Source organism: Homo sapiens, chromosome 22 (assembly GCF_000001405.40).
Source record: "Homo sapiens chromosome 22, GRCh38.p14 Primary Assembly".
Lineage (NCBI taxonomy): Eukaryota > Metazoa > Chordata > Mammalia > Primates > Hominidae > Homo > Homo sapiens.
In genome coordinates, this window is record NC_000022.11 from 40,102,745 (window position 1) to 40,125,921 (window position 23,177).

Consider the following 23,177-nt stretch of genomic DNA (forward strand, 5'->3'; position numbering starts at 1 on the left):
CCTGGGCAACACAGCTAGACCCCATCTCTAAAAAAATAAAAATAAAAAAATTGACTGCGCGTGGTGGCTCACACCTGTAATCCCAGCACTTTGGGAGGCTGAGGCCGGTGGATCACGAGGTCAGGAGACGGAGACCATCCTGGCCAACATGGTGAAACCCCGTCTCTACTAAAAATACTAAAATTAGCTGGGCATGGTGGCACATGCCTGTAATCCCAGCTACTCGGGAGACTGAGGCAGGAGAATCGCTTGAACCAGGGAGTTGGAGGTTGCAGTGAGCCAAGATCGCACCATTGCACTCCAGCCTGGGGACAGAGTGAGAGTCTGTCTCAAAATAAATAAATAAAAATAAATAAATAAATTAATTAATTAATTTAGCTGGTCATGATGGCATGTGCTTGTATTCCCAGCTACTCGGGAGGCTGAGGTAGGAGAATGGCTTGAACCCAGGAGTTTGAGTCTGCCGTGAGCTCTGCTCGTGCCACTGCACTCCAGCCTGGGCGACAGAATGACACCCTGTCTCAAAAAAAAAAAAAAAGTCTATACAGTTGTACCATCATCATTCGCAACCCAGTTTTAGAACATTTCCGTCAACCCACAGAGATCCCTCTTGCCCAAGTGCTGTCAGTCCCTTTTCCCACGCCATGCCCCAGGCAGCCCCTGAAAATTGAATCATACGGTACGTAGTCTTTCAAGTCTGGCTGCTTTCATTGAGCACAATATTTTTGAGGTTCATTCATGTTGTAGTATCAGTAGCTTGTTCATTTTTATTGGTGAGTAGTTTTCTACTGGATAGATTTACCACAGTTTGTTTATCTATTGATTACTTGAAGGACAAAAAAGACATTTGGGTTGTTTCCACTTTTTTGGCTATTATGAGTAATAATTCTTTTTTTTTCTTTATTTTTTACCTTTTGAGGTGGAGTCTCACTTTGTCACCCAGGCTGGAGTGCAGTGGCACGATCTTGGCTTCCTGCAACCTCTACCTCTCAGGTTCAAGCAATTCTCCTGTCTCAGCCTCCCGAGTGACTGGGATTATAGGCATGTGCCACCACACTCGGCTAATTTTTGTATTTTTAGTAGAGACAGGGTTTCGCCATGTTGACCAGGCTGGTCTCAAACTCCTGACCTCACGTGATCTGCCCACCTTGGCCTCCCAAAGTGCTGGGATTACAGGCATGAGCCACCGCGCCCAGCCAAGTCTATCTTTTAAAAGAAAAAAAGAAGGCTGGGCCCGGTGGCTCATGCCTGTATTCCCAGCACTTTGGGAGGCCGAGGCAGGTGGATCACAAGGTCAGGAGTTCAAGACCAGCCTGGCCAACATGGTGAAACCCTGTCTCTACTAAAAATAGAAAAATTAGCCAGGCGTGGTGGCGGGTGCCTATAATCCTAACTACTCAGGAGGCTGAGGCAGGAGAATCACTTGAACTCAGGAGGTGGAGGCTGCAGTGAGCGGAGATCACACCATTGCATTCCAGCCTGGACAACAGAGCAAGACTCCGTCTCAGGGAAGAAAAAAAATGGTTTTCATAGTCATTATCATTTGAGCCCTACAGTAGCCTTATAACAAGTAGACAGGACAAGTAGTATTACCCTCATTTGTTGCTATCCAGAGGGAGTCTACACCTGTATTCTCAGGTTATTGCCATAGGAAACCTATCAAGAGTATGCTTCCATTTTGTGGTGTACACACAGGATAGAGCAGCACCAAAGGACTACTTCTGTATGTGATGTAGATCCAAATTTGGAGTCAGTTTATTCATTCTGCAAATATTCACTGAATATCTGCTACCTGCCAGGCACTGTGCAAGATGGTGGAGGATTGAGATGTGAAAGATTTAGTCTCTGCTTTTGAGGAGTTAACTGTCCATAAAGGCTGTATACAAGAAAAAACTATAATTCTGGGCCATGGGAACCCAGAAGCAGAGGATCTAACAAGGTAGAGTGGGGAGCAGAGAGGAGGGTGTCAGAGTATATTGATGATATCATAGCTCACACTTACCTGGTGCATACTCTGTTCCAGGCACATTCCAAAAATTTTACATATGTTTACTCATTTAATCTTCACTTCAACCCCTTACCCTGTTTTACAGACGAGAAGGCCGCAAAACTGAGTGTGGTACTTTGACCAATCGCACACTACTAGTGAATGGTAGACCTGGAATTTAGACCAATCAGTCTGGCTCTGGAGTCTGTCTCCTGAAAAGGTTTCTCAGAGGAGAGGCACCCAAGCTGTGTCTTGAATAACAGCTTGTAGCTAGTCTGCAGAAAGGTGATTGGGATATGTCTACATGGTTTTCTAGGCAGAGAAGTGTCACAAGTAAAGGTAAAGAAAGCACACGATTGAGAGCAAGTGTGGCAGACTACTTGTGAGAAAAGATGGGTGGTAAGGAATGAGACTAGAAAGACAAGGCTGAGGATGAAGGGCCTGGCAGGCCATCCGAGGAATTTGGGTTCCGTGATCTAATTTTTAAAGTTATACCAAAAATACCATTTTTCCTTTTGTATTAATTTTATTTTTGTTTTGATTTAAATCTTTTTAATTGTGAAATATATCACACAATCAGAAAAGTGCATAAAGTACAAATGTAAAACAATGAATTATTTTGAAACGACCACCTCTGAGGTTAAGAAATAGAACATTATAGCGGCCCAACAGCCCCTTCTTAGTGACCTTCACTAGTCACAGTCCTTCCTCTCCCACCTACAGGTAACCACTCTTTTGATTTCTTTATTTTCCTTTCTATTTTTACTGTCCATGTCCCTGTAAACATTATAGTTTTGCCTGGTTTTGAACACACGGAGTCATATGCTGTATCTCCTTTTGTGTCTCGTCCTTATGTTTGCGAGATTCATCCATGTTGTTACATGTGGCTGTCCCTTTGTTTTTGTGCTGTATGACATTCTACTTTATGAATATACCAGTGTACTTACCATTGTGCTATTGAGGATATTTGGGTTGTTCCCAGCTGGGGACTATTATGGATAGTGCTGCTGTGTGTGCCTTTGGGGTACATGTGCATACATTCTGCTGGGTATGTACCTAGGAGTGGGATTGCTGGATCATGGGGCGTATCTGTCTTGAACTTTAGCAGAATCAAGCCAAACCATTCTCCAAAGTAGATGTAATAATTTGCATTCACACAAGTAGTGTGTGAAGATTTCTGTTGTTCCATAGCCCGAGCAACACTTAATCATATCAGACTTTGATGTTTTTAGCCATTGTGGTATATAATGGTGTATCATTATGATTTTCTTTTGCATCAACCTTACTTACTACTGAGACTAGATGCCTTTTCCTATGTTTATTGGCCATTTGGATAATTTTGGTTTTTTTGTCATCGTTTGATGACATGTTTCATCTAGCCTCTTGCCCCTTTTCCTGTTGGGTTATCCTTTTCTCTTTTAGAACTTGTTAGAACTCTTTATTATTTTGAATATGGGCCTTTTATTGGTTTTATGTTGCCTGCTTTTTCATTTTCTCGAGGTTGTCTTTTTTTTTTTTTTTTTTCAATTTGAGAGCAGGTACTGTTTATTAACTGACCAGCTTAGAAAAATAATCATGGTAGACACCTTAGTTTATTCTTCTAATAAGCCTGTTGATCTGGTCCTTCTTGTTGCCAGCATCTCCACCTTCTACAAAATGGGTGGTCTTTTTCTTCATTCTGCCTCATGGAGAAGATAATTTTAAGGGCCACAGGAAGTTATTTGCTTCTTTGAAGCATTTTCCAACAGTATAGATCTCATGAATCAGATCCTCCAGCAGATGATGCCATATTTACCAAGAGATCGAGCAATCAAAGTGTTATCTGTCAAAGCAATTCGCTTCTTACTGAATTCTCCATAACCACGCTTGTAGATAAGTTCATTTAGTGACTTTAGATTTGGGTACCCCCAAGCAATATATGACTCTACAATCCTCAGCATGTTAATTGAAGCCCTGTTGAGCTTCACAAACGTTCCATTGAAGATTTCAGGAAGGCGAAGAAGCTGCAACACCTTTCGGACCTTTGGGCTTACCCCATTGATACCTCTGATCCTGATGGCAAATGCCAATTTGGGTTCTGCAGGTACATAGAAGTTGCCAGCTTTTCTTGCCACCCTCGCCATTCGAATTTCAGTTCTGTCCATCTGCCTATGTTCCTTGTGACAGTGCTTCGCTTTTTCATGGATAAACTTCCTCCTTGCCCTTTGAAGCATCTTTTGGGCAAACTTCTTTCTCAGGCGCTTGATCTTCAGCTCTGCAAAATTCCTTCACTTTTTTCTTAAGGATTTCTGGCACAGCAGGAACCTTCTTCTTCTTCTTTTCTACACCCTCCGTGGTTCCAGCCGGAAAAAGAGGGAGGGTATCTTTTGATGAACAAATACTCTTAATTTTCATGTAGTCATGTTTGTCAGGTTTTTAATACTAGGTACTTTTTGTATCCTATTTAAGAAATCCTTCCCTACCCCTAGGCTATGAAGCATTTTCCCATATTATCTTCTAAAAGCTTTATTATTTATCTTTCACATTTGAGTATACAGTTCACCTGGAATTTGATTTTTGTGTATGGCAATTCTTAGCTAACTTATTAGTACTCCTCTGCCTTTAAAAATTTTTAAATATTCTATCCAGACTTTCTGGCTGTCCTCAGCAGAATGGTTGGTCTTCATTACCTGGTTTACCATTCCCAGAAGCAGAAATGTCTTTTAAAGTTTCAGTTTCACTTTGACTTAAAAATGATCTGTCCCGTCTTGTTAAGGGGCCTTAATGAATATGTTTACTAAAAAATAAAAAAAGACTGAAAAACTATATAGATTCATGACTGTTTCTATTTTTTATTTTTATTTTAAGAGACCAAAAAGAAGCTTCTGTTTCCTCTCTGCTTCTGTCAGCTATAAAATACTGTTAGACAAATTTAAGCTCGCTACATAAAATGAACATGGTTATACTTATTGCAGGATAATTTCAGAACATTAATCACAGGAAAAAATTAAATTAAAAAATACACACTATCCAACATTGACTTTGATAATAAAATGGCTTTAACTAAGGCAGTGGCTACCCCCCTTTCTCTGTTTATCCATAAATTTAAACCTCTTTTTTGGCCAGAGATGGACTGTATGCAAACCGCATCCAGAATGCTTTTAGTTTGTGCCACAAAATATGAAGAAAATGTTTTCAGTTTATGGCAACTAGATCCATGACATATGATGCTCCAGGAACTGTTTTTACAGTGCGCAAGATGCACAGGAACAGAATAGCAAACTCACATGATTGTTGGCAAGGAAAACCTGGCTACGTGGCTGATGTTAAATTTGCTTTTTAAGACAGCCAGATCAAGAAATGTCTGAAGACTTTGAGACTGCAGCAGGGAGATGATTTTGCAGTTAGTAAACACAGCCCTGGGAAGCCATGGCAAGGCAGTTCTGGTAAGCCATTTACAGCTTCTCTTCTAGCAGGAGAGCACAGTGGAGGCTCTGGAGAGGAAAACCTGACGTGGCCTCTAGAGAATGTTGCCCAGGGCAGTAGAGCCTCCCTGGTGGCACTGCTGTCAGCACCACCCTGCACAGCCCGGCAGAACCCTGCCTTGCCCTGGCCATCTCTGTCTCTGAGATTCACCACGGAGGTTAGCTTGGTTATAGGTGAGCTGTTAAGAGTAGGGGTTTGTGTTCTTGGAAGTTAGGGCTTAGGAGCCACACATTTCCTTCTTGCCCAGCTCTTGCTTGCTTAGACCATTTTCTTTATCTTTTTCAATGAACACTTGTCAAAGTGTGCTCCTTCCTCCCATCCAAGACCCTTTCAGAAGGTCACAACTATTTTAATAATACTAAGATGCTGTATGCCTTTTAAATTCATTCTCCCATGAGTGCACATTGGAGTTTTTCCAGACATGTGATACTGCAAAAGATTGAATGCAAAAGTATATATTTGGGTGCAGCTGTTGTTGCTCAAGCTAGACATTAAAGAAATTTGCAAAGATGTAAAACAGTGCCACTGTCCTCAAATTTTTAATCCTTTGAAATACCATTTTTAATTTAAAAAGCAATAGTTTATTATTTCTAAGTTTCAGGGTACATGTGCAGGATGTGCAGGTTTGTTACATAGGTAAACATGTGCCATGGTGGTTTGCTGCACTGTGAACCCATCACCTAAATATTAAGCCCAGCATACATTAGCTATTTTTCCTGATGTCTCCCTCCCCCCGCCACCCACCCCCAGCCAACAGGCCCAGTGTGTGTTGCTCCCCTCCCTGTGTCCATGTGTTCTCATTGTTCAGCTCCTAATTATGAGTGAGAATATGCAGTGTTTGATTTTCTGTTCCTGCATTAGTTTGCTGAGGATAATGGCTTCCAGCTGCATCCGTGTTCCTGCGAAGCACATGATCTCATTCCTCTTTATGGCTGCATAGTATTCCATGATGTATATGTACCACATTTTCTTTATCCAGTCTATCATTGATGGGCCTTTGGGTTGATTCCATGTCTTTGCTGTTGTGAATAGTGCTGCAGTGAACATACGCGTGTATGTATCTTTATAATAGAATGATTTATATTCCTTTGGGTATATACCCAGTAATGGGATTGCTGGGTCAAATGGTATTTCTGGTTCTAGGTCATTGAGGAATCACCACACTGTCTTCCACAATGGTTGAACTCATTTACATTCCCACCAACAGCGTAAAAGCGTTCTTATCTCTCTGCAGCCTTGCCAGCATCTGTTGTTTCTTGACTTTTTAATATAAAATCACCGTTCTGACTTGCATGAGATGGCATCTCATTGTGGTTTTTCATTTCTCTAATGATCAGTGATAGTGAGCTTTTTTAAGTTTGTTGGCCGAATAAATGAACTAATACTTCTGATGTTTCATAGTTATAATTTTTAGTATGGCAAATATTGATAATTAAAATTAAGATAAACAAGAGCTCTTTGAGGTCCTCCATAATTTTCGTAAGTGTAAAGGGATCCTGAGACAAAAGGGTTTGAGAATCACCTGCTTCAAATCCTGTCAGTTCCAGCTGGAATCCCAGTTTCTCTCTGAAGGCGGCACAGGTTATCTAGCTCACCGTTTTCTCTACGTTCTCTAAACTTCTGTGCCACTCAGCTTAGCGCTTAGCTTTTTTCTCCTTATATTTAGTGTAAGGCCCCTGAAAAAGGGGATCAGATCTGAAATGAGAGATTTTTAGACTTCCAAGGTACACAGTGCGGGGCACAGCATAAACAATTGTTAATGATTATTCATATTACTATCATCATTATCAATGTTCAACTCACTGGTTAATTGGAGAAGCAGTATACATCTAAAATTTGTGAACAATCTCACCTCATAAAATCAATATGCAATATAGAAAAAGAACAAAGGTTTTTCTTTAATCACCAATAAATTGGTCACAAAAGTTAACATGTTAATCTGCTTAATTATTTCTTTTAATTTTAATTTTTAATGTAAATTGCCAAATTATAATTGCATATACTTATGGGGTACAAAGTGATATTGTGATTTATGAATATAATATGGAATGATTAAGTCAACCCAGTTAACATATTTATTACCTCTAATCTGCTTAATTCTTATGTGACCAACAATTGCAATAAAACCTGGACATAGGCCCTTGCTCTGAAAACTTGCTGAGCACAGTGCCATGTACTTAGTAAGCATTCAGTAAAGCTGGTTGAGTTGAATCTGCTGTTTCAGTAGCTGCCTCTGCTGTTCTTGTAACCCTCGGTGAATTCCCTACCATCCCTGCCTCTACCTGTAAGTGATTTGCAGTTGTTTTAGGCTTTTAGAAGGCAGTCTTACTTTCTCAAGCCTTTTCTGTTAAAGAATTGACAGATTATTCTGGGGCCAGGCTGGAGGGCATAAATTAGTTGAGCAAGCTGGATTAATACCCCAAGGTTGGGTATGAGTCTTTCTGGTCATTCCTACTTTGGACTGAGTTTGTTTTTCTTAGGCAACCTTTCCTGACTTCCAAGACATAAAAATCAGATTAACATTCTTGTGCCAGGGTCCTACCATCAGTCCCAAAGTTTCCTTCACTGCTTCTCCCAGGAAGTCTGGGGATGCTGTGCAAGTAGTACACTGCCCTCATAGACTGTTACAGCTGATAAGCCCCAGCTTTGTTTTTGTAAGCTCAGAATGTCATATTGTATTGAGTTGATTTTAGTTTTTTCATAAAAATGTGTGTGTTTATTCCACAATAATTTATTGGGAACGTCCTTTGTGCTGGCACTATATTGAATGACAGTGATAAGGAAGCCTTAGACCGGGAAGCTTACCACCTCCTAGTGTACACACACATAAGCAAGCCTAGTGTGTGTTCTGAGTGCAGTTGCTCACCAGGGGAAGGATCCGTCCAGATCACCTGTGAGAAGAGGGAGTCAGGAAAGACTTCACAGAACAGGTTTCCCTAAGCCTGCATCTTGAAAGTTGGGAAGAAATTTGTCCTGTCCGTGGGAAGGCAGTCCAGGTGCAAACAGCACGTTCAACGGCACGCGAAACCACGTGGTGCTCAAGGGAAATGGAAAACAATTGGGCTTTGGAGGCGAAGGCAGTGGGGCGAGCAGGGACCGGGGTGAGCAGGGACCAGGCCTCGCCGACCGCAGTGGGAATGGGGTTTTATCTACAGGGTGGTTGAGGCACATTGCAAAGGCAGTAAGGATTTCTACTTTTTAAAGGTAATTCTAGTGGTGTAGGGGAGGGGTGGGTCTTGAGGGTAGGAAAACCAGTTGAAAAGATAACTAGCTTAAGAGTGGTGAGAAGCTATGCCAGAAGCAGGGCAGTCAGTGGCAGTAGGAATAAGGAAGTATATACTAGAATAGTTGGGAATTAGAACTGACAGTTTGGTGAGAGGAAGGAACTGCTGATGTTCACAGACTTCTGATTTGAGTGGGATGGCAGTATTCCCAAGTGAGGCAGAAGAACACGCTTTGGGGGAGGGTTGTTTTATTTTAGGGCCCTGTGGCACCTGAGGTGGAGCTGCATCAGGCAGTTATGTAGATAGTTCTAAAGACTGTAAGAAAGGTCAGCACTAGAGAAAGACTTGGGAGTCATCAAGATCCAGGGGGAAGCTGTATCTATGAGAAAGCATAAGACCAGGCTGGGCGCAGTGGCTCACACCTGTAATCCCAGCACTTTGGGAGGCCGAGGCGGGTGGATCACGAGGTCAGGAGTTCAAGGCCAGCCTGGCCAAGATGGTAAAACCCCAACTCTACTAAAAATACAAAAATTAGCTGAGTGCGGTGGCAGGCGCCTGTAATTCCAGCTACTTGGGAGGCTGAGGCAGGAGAATTGCTTGAACCCAGCGGCAGAGGTTGTAGTGAACCAAGATCGCGCCACTGCACTCCAGCCTGGGCAACAGAGTGAGACTCCCTCTCAAAAAAGAGAAAGCAAAAGGATGGGTGTGTAATAAAAAGAGAAAGGGAGGTGTGGACTCCGGAGGAGGAATACACCAGTAATGAAAGGACAGGGAGAAAAAAAACTGTCCTGTGAAACAGACTGGAAAGAAACAGACCAAGAGGTAGCAAAAGTACTGCCGTGGGCCCTTCCAGGGGGGTGGGTGAAGGGACTAAACCTGCTCCATGTCAGATTGGGCATCAGAACTGAGTTCAATCCGTGAAGCCAAGAGTTGAGTTTGGTTCCCTCTCCATGACCCTGTCCCCCAGTCTGCCATGTACAGCAGCAGCTGAAGCAGCAGCTTTTCACCGTCTCACCCACCCCAAACCCTGCCCATGATAAGAAGGCTGGTTGCAGACCCAAGGGAACAGGAGGACCCGACACAGCCTGGATACCAGGAACTAAAACAGGATGCCCCTGGCCCAGTGGCTGGATCTTCAGTATCCTTACTCTTAAGACAGGAAAGGAGCTCCCAAATGACAGGTTTCAGGTGGTTCTGCTTCGGATTTTTATTTATTTATTTTGTGTTTATTTTTAGACAATGGTTCTGACTTTTAAATGCTAGAGAAAGATTAAAGGAAGAACAGTTGAATAGTATCTGTTGCATTGACACTGAGATTGATAGGGACAGAAATCAAGTTGTGATGATTAATAAGTGAATGAGAAATTAGTATGTTGAGACCACAAATATAAACTGCTTTTTCTAGAAGCTTGACTAGGCCAGGTGCAGTGTTTCACGCCTATAATTCCAGCACTTTGGGAGGCCAAAGAGGGTTGATCACTTGAGGTCAGGAGTTCAAGACAAGCCTGGTCAACATGGTGAAACCCCGACTAAAAATAGAGCCAGGCATGGTGGCACACACCTGTAATCCCAGTTACTCAGGAGGCTGAGGCAGGAGAATTGCTTGAACCTGGGAGGTGGAGGTTGCAGTGAGCTGAGATTGCGTCACTGCACTCCAGCCTGGGCGACAGAGCAAGACTCCATCTCAACAACAACAAAAGCTGGACTAGGAAGGGAAAGAGGGGAGGAGGAGCGCAATAGCTAGAACAGATTTTAAGGTTAAAGAGGATGTTTTTAGGAATGGACAGACAGTATTTTTACAGAACTTCCAAAGCGTTGAAGTGAAGTAGGGAGTGGCCTAAAACTGCAAAGATAGTATTTCCAGGTCTTGGAATGATGGTAAATCTCTTGTGTATGGGGACTAAATAAAACCATCTGTTTCTAGCAGATCTACCTCCACCTGTGCTCCTTTTGAGACAAGGTCTGGCTCTGTTGCCCAGACTGGAGTGCAGTGGTGTGATCTAGGCTCACCGCATCCCCTGCCTCCTAGGCTCAAGCCATCCTCCCACCTCAGCCTCCTGAGTAGGTGGGACTACAGGTGCATACTACAATGCTGGGCTAATTTTTTTGTGTTTTTTGTAGAGATGGGGTTTCACCAGGTTGCCCAGGCTAGTCTTGAACTCGTGAGCTCAATCAATCTGCCCACCTCTGCCTCCCAAAGTGCCAGGATTACAGGTGTAAGCCACCACACGTGGCCTCCTTAAACTTTTGATATTATTATTTGTGTTACTTAATTAACTAGATATCTTCTTGTCCGCTTGGGCTGGGTGCCCTGCTCACAGAGCTGGATGGGTGGTACCCTCCTGTCTGCCACCAAGTCTCCTGGCATCCCCCCTTGCTTCCTGGGAAGACCTTCCAGGCCTCCTTGCTGGTGTTGTGCTCCTCCCTCACATCTGCTGCCTCACTTAAGACATCTCTTCTGGACATCTTGCTTGAAGTTAGGCCAGTTGCCAACAATGTAGGCAGACAGGGTTTTCAGAGTTATTTGCGACTCAATTAAAAGTTTATAGTGTATTCTTAATAATCTGTATCCCAAGAATTATGCTGGATATCAAACTGATAGGAGTGGTGAGTCCTGGGAAGACTGGAATGGAAGGAGAGGGGACATTGGTTAAGAGCCTCTCTATACTGCTTGAATTTTTAAAATGAGAATTTAAATGTAAAATAATTGTGCTGAATAGTCAAGTTTGAAAATTAAAACCCTGCCATACTCAGAGGTGATACTAGTAAGATACCAGCAAAATAAATATAGTTTGTTGAATATGTATTTCTTTCAACTTGCCATATTCTCTAGGAAAGATTTAGTTCTAATTAAATCCTGTGAGTTTAGTTAGGTACTTGGCTTTGGAAGAATTCTTTATTTTTATTTTCATTTTTTTGAGACTGGGTCTTACTGTGTCATCCAAGCTGGAGTGCAGTGGTGTAATCATGGTTCACTGCAGCCTTGACCTCCCAGACTCAAGCAATTCTCCTGCCTTAGCCTCTTTAGTAGCTGAGACTACAGGCACATGCCACCATGCCCCGTTAATTTTTTACATTTTTTTGTAGAGATAGGGTCTTCCTGTGTTGCTCAGGCTGATCTCGAACTCCTGAGCTTAACTGATCCTCCTGCCTCGGCCTCTCAAAGTGAAGTGCTAGGATTATAGGAGTGAGCCACCACGCCCGGCCTAGAGGAATTCTTGCAGCCGGCTTGCAGTTTAGCAGGACCTGGGGATTGATTTAACCCAAGATCCACTGAACATTCCCACCCCTTCTATGAATTCCAAGACTAGTTTGGCTGCTCTGAAAGAGAAGAGAGAAAACTGGAGTGGTTCACAGTTTTACTGCTGCAGCTGTACCTGATCAGATGGTAGGATTACCGTGTAGTTCTGAGCATTTCAAAGCAGTTGTGGAGGAATTTGCCGCTATTTATACCTTGGAAGGAAAATAGTGCTGTAGGTAACTTCAACTAGATAATTTCAAATGTTGATTTTATAATTAATTTTTATGTTTATTTTGAATACGTGTGTACCTGATACAGAGGTTCACAGCCTGGCAGAGAAAGTAATGCAGCTGTTCTGTAAAACCTGGATTCAAGAGTACTTGGAAAACTGCTCAGTTTCCCTAGCCTACCTGTCCTCTACCTTAATTCTTTTTTTCCCCTCCCTTCTGAATACAGGCAGTGTCTGAGACTCACTGCCAAGCAGGCTAGGGACTGAGTGACATGGTCTCTTTCTAGCCTTGTCTGTTAAGGAGACATGTAATGAACAACTTTACAGGGTTGGCACACTATTTGGACTAATGATAGATCCAGAGAAGAGGCTGTGTTTTAACCTAAGCGGGAAACTTTAATCAGAATAGGGAACTAAAAATTAGTGTTATTCTCTTGATAGTCTCTGCGGTTGACAAAAAATTAATGAATCCAGTCGTCCTCTGAAGTGCTGAGGGTCAGACATAACCACGTAGCCTCGAGTTCTCTGTAAGGGCCAGACCCATCTTGGAGGTTGCAGCTAACTTCAATTTTTACCAATGCATTTAATTAGGGGACCCATCCACATTCAAGTACTGAATTGCTGGGATCCCATTGGGATTCAGTTCAGCTTATGTTTATTGGACTCTACCCAATACCAAATTCAAAGGTGTGTCAGACATGGTCCTTGCTATCAAGGAGCTCCTGCTGAGTGAAGAAAATGGACCCGTGGATATTACCAATATAATGTGTATCTCGGAGGAGGAACACTTTGTCCAACCAGGGAGGATACAGAAAATTTCTAGGAGATAACACCTAAAGGAAAAGGGGAAGGGAATAGGCAGAGGGCTCTCAGACATTAATGTGTGTGTTGTGAGTAAGGAAACTGTGCAGTCATGAAGTGATAATGGGTCTGGAGAGGCCTTGGATTTTACCCTAAAGGTAGTTATTGACTGAATTTAGGTGGCGAGATACCCAGAGGTCAAATTTGCTCTTCAGCAAGAAAGACTGCTGTGATACAGTGTACAGTAGGGAGATAGGGAGACAAGTCAAAATATTTCTAATTCTCATCACAGTTCCATCTGAGATGTATTGATTCAAACACTATTAAATAAAGTAAGTCAAATAGAGGGGACGACAGATAGCAGGGCAGTGAGGTGCTTTCAGATTCCCTGCAGCACCATCTCAGCACTGTGCTCTAACGTGGGGCTGAAGCCCTGACTTACAATCTCTAGCTGTGGGGAATGGAGCACGCTGTCTTGGACAGAAGTATTGGGTTGACTGTGAAACTAAGGGGCCAACTTCCAAATAGTGCCAGCTTTCTGACAGCGGTGTAGATGCTGGTCCCAGATGAGCCTCTGCTGGGCTCGCCATTGCTTTGAGCACCTACACACACATAGGTAGCTCCAACCTTGAGGAGCATTCCTTCTGCGTTTGTTTGTTCATTGTAAAATGAAGTTGCTGGCCATTTAATATATATTCCTATATCTCTGTATTCAAATACATGAATATATATTTCAGAGAGAGATTCCATCATGGAATAAATAAAATATTTACTGCATTTACTAGCAACTTGCTATGAATTGATTTTGAAGAGACTGTTCCAGCCATTATGGGGGAATGGATTGGGGAGGAGCAAGAGTAGGAACAGAGAACCAGCGAAATGGCCCCAACAAGCAAGAAGGACAGCAGTGAAAATGAAGAATTATGGGTAGATCTGAGAAACAGATTTTGAAAGAGGAAATGATAGGACTTGCTGATGGGCTGATATGAGGGGTTGGGTGAGAAATTCATGACGGATGTCAGGGTCTGACCTAAACACCTGGGTAGGGGGTGATGCCCTTGATTGTACAAAGCCTTAATATTAATAACCACTTGCCTTTATTGAGCATGTGTTTGGTATCCTGCCCTGTACTAAGAGTTTTACACATACTTCATTTAAACTTCAAAAGAACCCTATGAAGAAGGTGTTGTTATTGTTCCCAGTGTTGGTTGAGGAAGCTGAGCTCTGAGGGGTTGGGCTGCGGGCCTAGAAACAATAGCTGGTGAAAGGAGGAGCTGGATTTCCACAAGTCTGCCTGTGCCACTGTTTCATGTGGCATCTTGCTATGAGCATACAGTTCATAGTGATTTTTTTCTCTTTTCAGGGTTGTGGTTTTTTGCACTGAATGTAACCTAGACTCATCTTCACGGGCTTGTGTTGCCCCAGGTACTGTCAAAGGTAAGTTTTTAAAATATATATCTACCATGTATTGGCAATAGTCTTCTTAAAAAGAAGAAAAGTACTTTTTCAAAAACATTGTTGCCCTTTTACCAAGTTCTTACAGAAAGATATTTTTAAGGTGACCATCATACCAGCCCCTTGCTTTCCTACTATATGGTAGGTGCCTTTTAAAAGCACTGGTATTTAGATGGATACTGACATTTGGTGCCTCATGCTAGAAAGCTACAACTTAGTTATTAGGATTATGTGAATTTTATGTGAGTGTTCCCCTAGCGTCTCTGTCTCTCACCTTTCCCTGCTGCGGTCTGTAGTCCACATTACTGCCAGGGTTCACTTTCTGAATGATAGATTTACTCAGGTCATGCCTTTGCTTAAACAGCCCTCATGGCATCCAGTTGCTGCAGATGTTGTCCCACAGATCCCTTCAAACCTAATTCCAGTCAACATTTCTGGTTGCTTTTTTAGTGAATCCTTATCTGTAAGCCTTAATGGACCATTTTCTTTTCCCTAGATATATATATAGTATTTTTTCGTGGCTTTGTGCCTTGGTTGATGCTTTTCTCTTTTTAGAGCTTGGAAGCAGGGAGAAGAATGTGACTATCTACTCTTCTTGTTGTATTTTTCCTGTTATCTTCTTCTCCCAAACTCCCTTGGCAGAATTTCTTTTTCATCTGTATTCTAAGAGCACCTGTTGTTATTACAGTAATAAATTATTCAATATTTTATATTAAAGTTGTTTATTTGTATCTGTCTCCTTTACTAATATATAAACCCTTTGAGACTGCTTGGAAAGGAGCTAACCTATTTTCAATGCCTAAAAGAGGCCCCCACAAGCAAGAAAGGATGACAGCAGTGAAAATGAAGAATTGTGGGTGGATCTGAGAAACAAATTTTGAAAGCAAAAATGATAGGACTTGCTAATATGAGGGGTCCAGGGTAGGATTGCTAATATGAGCTAATATGAGGGGTCCAGGGTAGGATGATAAATTGATGATGAATTTCTCCCCAACCCTTTGCTAGGCTTATGTGCCTAGTGTATGCACCTTGTCTCTATAGAGACAGCCACTTACCTGAAGACAGTAGCCATAACCATAGCCACTGCTAAGGTCAAAATACTGTGTGGCCTATGGTTTTTGAACCTCCAGTTCAGCCTCAGTAGTATAGAGAAATAAGATAAAATGCTCTTAGACACCTTGCTAAGAGTTCTACACACATTGTTTAATTTAGTCTTTATAACACCTTTTCCTGCACAGCTTTATGGATGAAAATATCAGGATTAGAAAGTTAAATAACTTGCCCAAGACCACACAGCTAATAACTGACAAAGAAGAACGGTTCTACATTTTCAAAGCCACAGCTCATTCCAGCATAACACAGTATCCCAGCACCATCTGGCATGTGATAGAGGCACAGTAAATGTTTATTGAATTGATATCTATTGCATTTTAAAGAAAAAGCACTGTCATTGATTAATTCAGTCATTCTTACATAGAAATTTATTGAATACATATTAAATGCCAGGTACACAGTTTTGAGTAGACTGAATACAGAGATTAACAAGATATAGCGTCTGGTATCAAGGGGTTGACAGTCTAATCCTTATCACATAGAGGAATCTATGTGAGTAAATAAATCCAATAAAGTGTTACAGATCCCATAATAGAATTCAAACAAGATCCACTGGAGGCACTGAGGAAGGAATCATTATTTCTGCCTAGAGATGGATCAGGAAATAGTTCATAAAAGCTGAGCCTTGATTGGAAAGTAGGGTCTCCCCTTGTGGCACCAGAGGAGGGAAAGGCAGAGGGAGTGATAGCAACAAAAACATGGAAACCTGAAACAGTCTGCCATATTGGCAAAGCTGTAAGATGTTCATTACGGCTGGAACAAATGGAACAGAGACCAGGCAGACGAGGCTGGAGAGACAGGCAAGGGCTGGATCCTGGAGGGCTCTTGAAAATATTAACATATTTGGCAATTTTCCTGGAAGAACTTGCACAGGTACTGTAGGACATTACTTGTATTTAGTTCTTAACATTTGCTGAGTCCTGTCATGTGTGTAGCAAGCACTGTGCCAGGTCAAGACTATCCACCACCTACCACAGGTCACAGACTGGTGACTGCTCCAAGTTGAAGTGATGTGCAAAAACAGAAATTAAACACTTGTGTCGGTCGGACACGGTGGCTCACGCCTATAGTCCCAGCACTTTGGGAGGCCTAGGCGGGCGGATCACTTGAGGTCAGGAGTTCCAGACCAGCCTGGCCAACATGGTGAAACCCTGTCTCTACTAAAAATACAAAAATTAGCCAGGCGTGGTGGCACGTGCCTGTAGTCCCAGCTACTTGGGAGGCTGAGGCAGGAGAATCGCTTGAACCTGGGAGGCAGAGGTTGCAGTGAGCTGATATTGCACCACTGCACTCCAACCTGGGCAACAGAGCAGGACTCTGTCTCTAAATACATACATAGATAACATACATACATACATGCATACGTAAACACTTGTGTGTTGTCTCATCATCTCATGAGGGGACATGACTTGTCACTTTGGCATGACTTGTTCACCCCTCTAGTTTTCATGTAAGTGGGCTTTGCCCTGACTTTTTTGTGACTCTGTTAGCACTGATACATTAGACTTTGTCACTTCTTACATGGAACCCTTAGTTAACCGCACACTTCTGCATTGCCTACCTTACTTACCTTCTGTTTTGTCAAAAGGAAAGTAAAGTTGCCCTAGACACAACCATAAGCCATGCCTTCAAACAAGAATGTTATCAAGGTTTGTTCAAGAAACATTGAAAACTAAGGACAGCTCCAAAACAACAAAAAATGAGAGCAAGTGAAATAAAGGACAAAGATAAAAATGGGTATCAATATGACATTTAGTAAGTGGGCACATTACATGGTTTTAATCAGGAAAGATTTTTAGAAATAAAAATTGACTGGAGGCCAGGAACTGTGGCTCACACCTAAATCCCAGCATTTTGGGAGGCCTAGGCAGGTGGATTGCTTGAGCTCACAAGTTCAGGACTAGCCTGGGCAACATAGTGAAATCCCAACTCTACCATAAATACAAAAATTAGCTGGGCATGGTGATGTGTACCTGTAGTTCCAGCTACTTGGGAAGCCCAGTGAGGCTGAGGCTACATTGAGCCGTGATCATGCCACTGCACTTCAGCCTGGGTGACAGAGTGAGACCCTGTCTCAAAAAAAAAAAAAAAATACTGAATAGATATTAGAAGGGTAGAGATGTGGATTGGTGATGAGGGGAAGGGTTTTCCAGTAGGGTGTGGACTAGGATATACATAGAGAGAGATTAGCATGTTGTGTGCTGAGAATGGAAAGATTTGCCTGCGTGAATGCAGAATACAGGGTGCTTTGAGAGTAATTAGAAATGAGGTTAGTGAAAAGCTTAGGAAGTAAAAGTGTGTGATTAATGCTGTGGTAATGGAATAATTTGGAAGACAAGGCTGATATGGAAAACTGAACTTAATTCTGAGGAGGATACATGTCAGATATAAGTTGAGATCAAAGGGTATCCAATAAGTAATATTCTCTTCCCTGCTCAAGTTCTGAACCAACAGAGACTTAGCACAAAGGAGTAAGGCAGACAGGTGGAGATCAAAATTTCACGTTTATCATTCATAAAGTTGCCATAGGAGAACTGGCTTAAATCTAAGGGCAAGCAGATTTTTAATACTGAACTGCAGGACTTAACAGGTTTATTCGCCCACCACCACTAGTCTGGGATAGACCTGCCTTCTCGCCTGCCTCCTAGCCAACGAAAGGAGCAGAGCAGAACAGGTGTCCCCAAGGGAAAAGGGAGAGAAAAGGGCTGGACTATGCAAGCCTGGTTTCTTCTTCCAAACACACTCATCAGAGAAGTGACTTCACCCCTGACAGCCTGAGTCAGGGATACAAGGCCAGGAATATGAAAAATTGGATATTGTCCCATGTGGAAGGAAGCATCAGGAGCAGGGAAAAAAGTTTTCCTCCCCTAGCATTCCCTAGCTTTTGTTTCTTAGTACATTGTTCTTAACCAGTAAGTCTAGGTCAGCCAGGGTTATGCCAGTCTTCCTTCCTCCTTTCCCTCCTCCCTCCCTCCCTCCCTTCCGTCCTTCCTTCCTTCCTTGTATAGCCAGAAACCTCTTAATTTTCATTTTCCTTTTGAATCACCTATATAAACCTAGCACAAGCAATTTAAAGGAAAAACTTCACTGGTTTTGTAATGCATGTGTGCTATTTGAAATTCAGCTGCTTTGCAGCTTATATGCAGCGAGTAATTGTTCCACTTTCTGATGTCTAAAAGGCCTGTAGGAAGAAAGTCTGTTTTCCCTGAAGTCTAATCTTTCCTCAGCCATGCCTGCTTAGGAAAAGCTGTGCCGGCATAATTCAAGGTCAAGCAGCAGCCTTCTGTACACTGAAGCCACCCAAGCCCACTAATGCCCTATTCCCTTTGCTGAGGCCAGCACAGCTGGCATTTGCTTGCTAGGCCAGAGCAGCCAGTGTATGCTGAGACTGCCTGCACAGCTGATATGTAAATGAGCTTTCAATACCAGCATCACCACCACCGCCACAACCGTCTGTGGCTTGTTTCTTGATGAGGCCTGCAAAGCCCCCAACCCTTTGCTAAGGCTTATGTGCCTAGTGTACGCAGCCTTGTCTCTATAGAAACAGCCACTTACGTGAAGACAAAGTTGCCATAACTACAGTCGCTGCTAAGGTCAAAATACTGTGTGCCTATGGTTTATAAACCTCTAATTCAGCCTCAATAGTTACAAGCTAGTGTATAACTATAAAAACAACAGTAAAAAGCCTAATATAAGCTTCTACAAGAAAATACTGTGCCCCCTCATTAAAGTCCAAGGCCCAAAGTCCTGGCCTTAACAGAAGCCTCAAAAATGCCACATGTATTTTACTCCCTTGAATTTTAGTTCTTGTCTATTTATCAAAATTTTGGTGCCACGCACCAGAAGTTAGGGTCTTTGAGACCCAATAAATAGCACTCTCCTTCCCTTGACTGGGCTCTCTATATTTTGGTCTCCCAAATGTCCTCCTTTTTAAAAGCTTATATGCAGCGAGAAATTGTTACACTTTTCATTTTTCCCTCCTTTTTAAAAGGAGGGCATTTGGGAGACCAAAATACTGTTTCTCTGACTAATAAAGCGGTATTGGACCGCCCATTCCCGCTGCCACTGCTATTATGTGTGCCACTGGGCAGAGGGGCCGGGCTTAAAAAAAAAAGCTGTATTGGAGAATGTGACACATCTACAGGCCAGTGAACTTAACACTGAACTTCATAATAACACAGACTGACCTACTCACGGGTAGTTGTGAGGGTCCTGTGTTTATGGGTGGAGGAGAAGAGGAGAATGCAGGCTTCCTGGGGCAGCTGGTTTCCAGAAGGAAGGAAAAGACAGGGCTGAGCTCCACCTACGTTGTTTCTCCTTCCAAACTCACCATTAAAGTAAGATCCTGTTACCTTCTCTGGAGTGGATTGTGTGCAGGTGGAGAGGAGCCAAAGGTGGAAACTCAGGAGCCAGGAAGAAGCATTCCCCTTTCACAGCATGTCCAAAGGGAAATGGAGATCACTGGGGATCGGACCCTGAAAGAATAAGAATTCAGAGTAGAGAATGTCTTGTGAGTTGGTCATCTCCATGTACTTATTAAGTACCTATTATGTATCAAGTGCAAATACATTGTCAGTGAATCCTCAGAATAACTACTATTCCCAAGTTTTGGTAGGGAAGCTGAGACTGAGACAAATTGAGTAAATTCCCTCAAGGTCACACATCCGTAAGCATTCGGGTCTGTTGGACTCTTCAGTGACGGCCACAGCTCCCCCTCCAGGTTCCAGTCACTGCCCCTTCCGCTTCAGGTCTAGCAATAGTAAGGTTCCCAATTGTTGTCAGCCACTGGGTGGTTCAGTAGCCTTTGTTGGTTTCCCTATTTCCATTCTAACATGTTGGAAAACTGAGGGCTGTAGTAGTAGAGAAGGTAAGACTTGGGCCTTGGTAGGATCTTATTGGGACACGATGGATTTTAAGAAGTGAGTGGAGGGGCAGAAGTCTTGGTTAAAGCCTTGGGTAGAGGGTGATAGCATGGGGGAGGAGAGATGACAGTGTGCAGTGTTGGGGGATAGGGAGGAGGAGTCGGTAACGGGAAATAGCAGTGATTGTCAGAGAAGGAAAAAACTAATTTAGCCAGGCAAGTCAAGCTAGAAAGAGACTTAAGAAAAATAGAACAGCCAAATAGGAGAATCCAGAAAGGATGAAAGTAAAAAGATTAAAGCTGAAGGAGAAGCCAGCAAGTTGAGAGCAGTGCCCTTTCATAGAAGAAACAACCACTGCCATCCCTTCTTCCTCTCCCGACCTCCTGTCTCCAGTCAGTGCCTCCCACTGGCTTAGCCCAGCCAGCAGCCAGAAGATAAGGAGCCCAATGATGGTGTCCCCTGGGGCACACAGTTAGGCGGAGAATGGAGCGTGGGTCTGGAGGAAGCAGACAGTACAGCACCAGACCAAGGAGTGTGCTGAGCACAGGCCTGCAAGCATGAATGGAGTTCCAAGGAGTTTTTCTGGTTCAGCTATGCCTATAATGCATCATCTGGTTCAGCTATGCCTATAATGAAACAGAGAAATGCAGTCTCTGTTTCAGTGAAGTAGGAGAACTTAAAGACATCTGTGAAGCAAATTACACATAAAATCTTTCTGGATAAGTTATTGAGTTTTTCCAATGCTATCAACCTAATTTTTATAGAAAGAGAACTTTTTTTTTTTTTTTTTGCACAACTGTGATAAATAGGTGAGGGACAAAATCAACTAGAGAAAGCCTATTTTCACTTGCTGTGAGCATCCCTCATGTGTTTTACAGAGAGGATGGGCAATGTTGATTAAGCTGGGAGCAAGTGAATGGATATCAATTGAGAGCTTCTACTGTACTGATTTTACACTTCACATCACATAAATATGCATTTGTTCCCAACAAGACCTTGCTAGGTGGGTGAGCAAAGTAGATATTTTGGTAACCCCTTCCCACCCAGTAGATGAGGCAACAGCTTCCTGGAAGTGCCTTCTTAGCCTTGAGTCTTGGCTGGTTATAGAGAAGCCTACACCAAAACAGATCATCAAGCGTTGTGCATTAATAGATTTTTCTTGCACACACAAAAAACATACACTACCAGCATCTTTTTACCTTTTTTTTTTTTTTTTTTTGAGACAGGGTCTCACTCTGTTGCCAAGGCTGGAGTGCAGTGGTGTGATCACAGCTCACTGCAGCCTTGACCTCCTGGACTCAACCAGTCCTCCCACCTCAGCCTCTCAAGTAGCTGGGCCCACATACATGTGTCACCACGCCTGGCTAATTTTTGTATTTTGGGTAGAGGTGGGGTTTCGCCCCCAGGCTGGTCTTGAACGCGTTAGCTCAAGCCATCCACCTGCCTCAGCCTCCCAAATTGCTGGGATTATAGGCATGAGCCACTGCACCTGGCCTTTTTTAGTTTTTATGTTTTGTAGCTATGAGCTTTAGAGTAGCTGATAGGTTTGTAAATATTCATACCTGTATTATAATGGAGATTTGTGTCATTTGAATAATTATTCCTCAATAGGGCCAGGAGCGGTGGCTCACGCCTGTAATCCCAGCACTTTGGGAGTCTGAGGCGGTCGGATCACGAGGTCAGGAGTTCAAGACCAGTCTATCCAACATAGTGAAACCCTGTCTCTACTAAAAATACAAAAATCGGCCGGGTGTGGTGGCAGGCGCCTGTAGTCCCAGCTACTTGGGAGACTGAGGCAGGAGCATCGCTTGAACCCAGGAGGTGGAGGTTGCAGTGAGCCAAACTCTCACCACTGCACTGCAGCCTGGGCGACACAGCAAGACTGTGTCTCAAAAAAAAAAAAAATATTCCTCAATAATTACATATGTAATGAATTCTTGAAAATGTTGCATAAATTTTTAGTAGTTTCCTTTTGGTACATTTTAATTCATAAAATTTTAACAAACTTTTTCTTGACTCATTTTATTCTTTGAGGAAAACTTAATTACTTTTTACTGTCTTGCCCTATAAATAGTCTCATATAAAAATAAATGAACTGACATTTAGTTTATTAAGCACATTTCCTAAAAATGAAAAGTGGGGCCAGCCATTATAGTGTACTTTAATTTCAGTTATAAAGAAAGCAGGAACGTTATTCATAAATTATAAGCCCGGGAAACCCTGCCAATTCCAATAGCCTTAGCCTAATACCCAGGCACTGTGACCTGCAGGGGCGGAACAACAGGTGCGCCGCTTTGCTCACTGCCATACTTTCTTGCAGGTCAGTGTCTGCTGTAAGAATTTCACCACCACCTCTGCCAAAAGCCAAATAAAATAGGGAAAGAAATCTAGAGCTATTAATATCCCAATGCTGGAAACCTTTCCTATCTACCCTTCTCCCCCAAGATGGGAAACATTCCCTCCCTGCTTCTCTCCCTCCCTTTCTTACCTTTAAGATGCATGTGCATAGACACACACACACACACAAAGTTACTCAAAGTTACTTCACAGTATCTGTGGCCTTATTGAGAGAATTTCAGTCTAAACCTTTGAAAAAAAAATTTTTTTGCCCTGAATTCCTTACATACTTTTTTCTTCTCTCTTCTTTTAGGCAGTATTTTTGTGTTTCTGCAGAGTTTTGCACAAAATCTGTTCCCATGCAAACCAATGAGGGAGAAGTATCGGAAGAAAGCAGTTCCAAGGTCAGTAAATTACTGAAAGGTACAGTTTGGGTAGAAATTGAACAGTAGAGGCTGTGGAT

General features: G+C 42.7%; 1 protein-coding gene and 1 pseudogene across 1 annotated transcript in view; one reads left to right on the forward strand and one right to left on the reverse strand.

The window, feature by feature from the left end:
* The window catches only part of TNRC6B (trinucleotide repeat containing adaptor 6B), a 290,975-nt gene that overhangs the window by 57,911 nt on the left and 209,887 nt on the right, over positions 1-23,177 (forward strand). The window contains exons 2-3 of the mRNA NM_001024843.2: positions 14,311-14,384; positions 23,028-23,118. Coding sequence (NP_001020014.1) covers positions 23,074-23,118 — 45 coding nt within the window. The 5' untranslated portion in view covers positions 14,311-14,384; positions 23,028-23,073. The remainder of the gene's footprint in view (positions 1-14,310; positions 14,385-23,027; positions 23,119-23,177) is intronic.
* RPL7P52 (ribosomal protein L7 pseudogene 52) lies at positions 3,509-4,342 on the reverse strand (annotated as a pseudogene).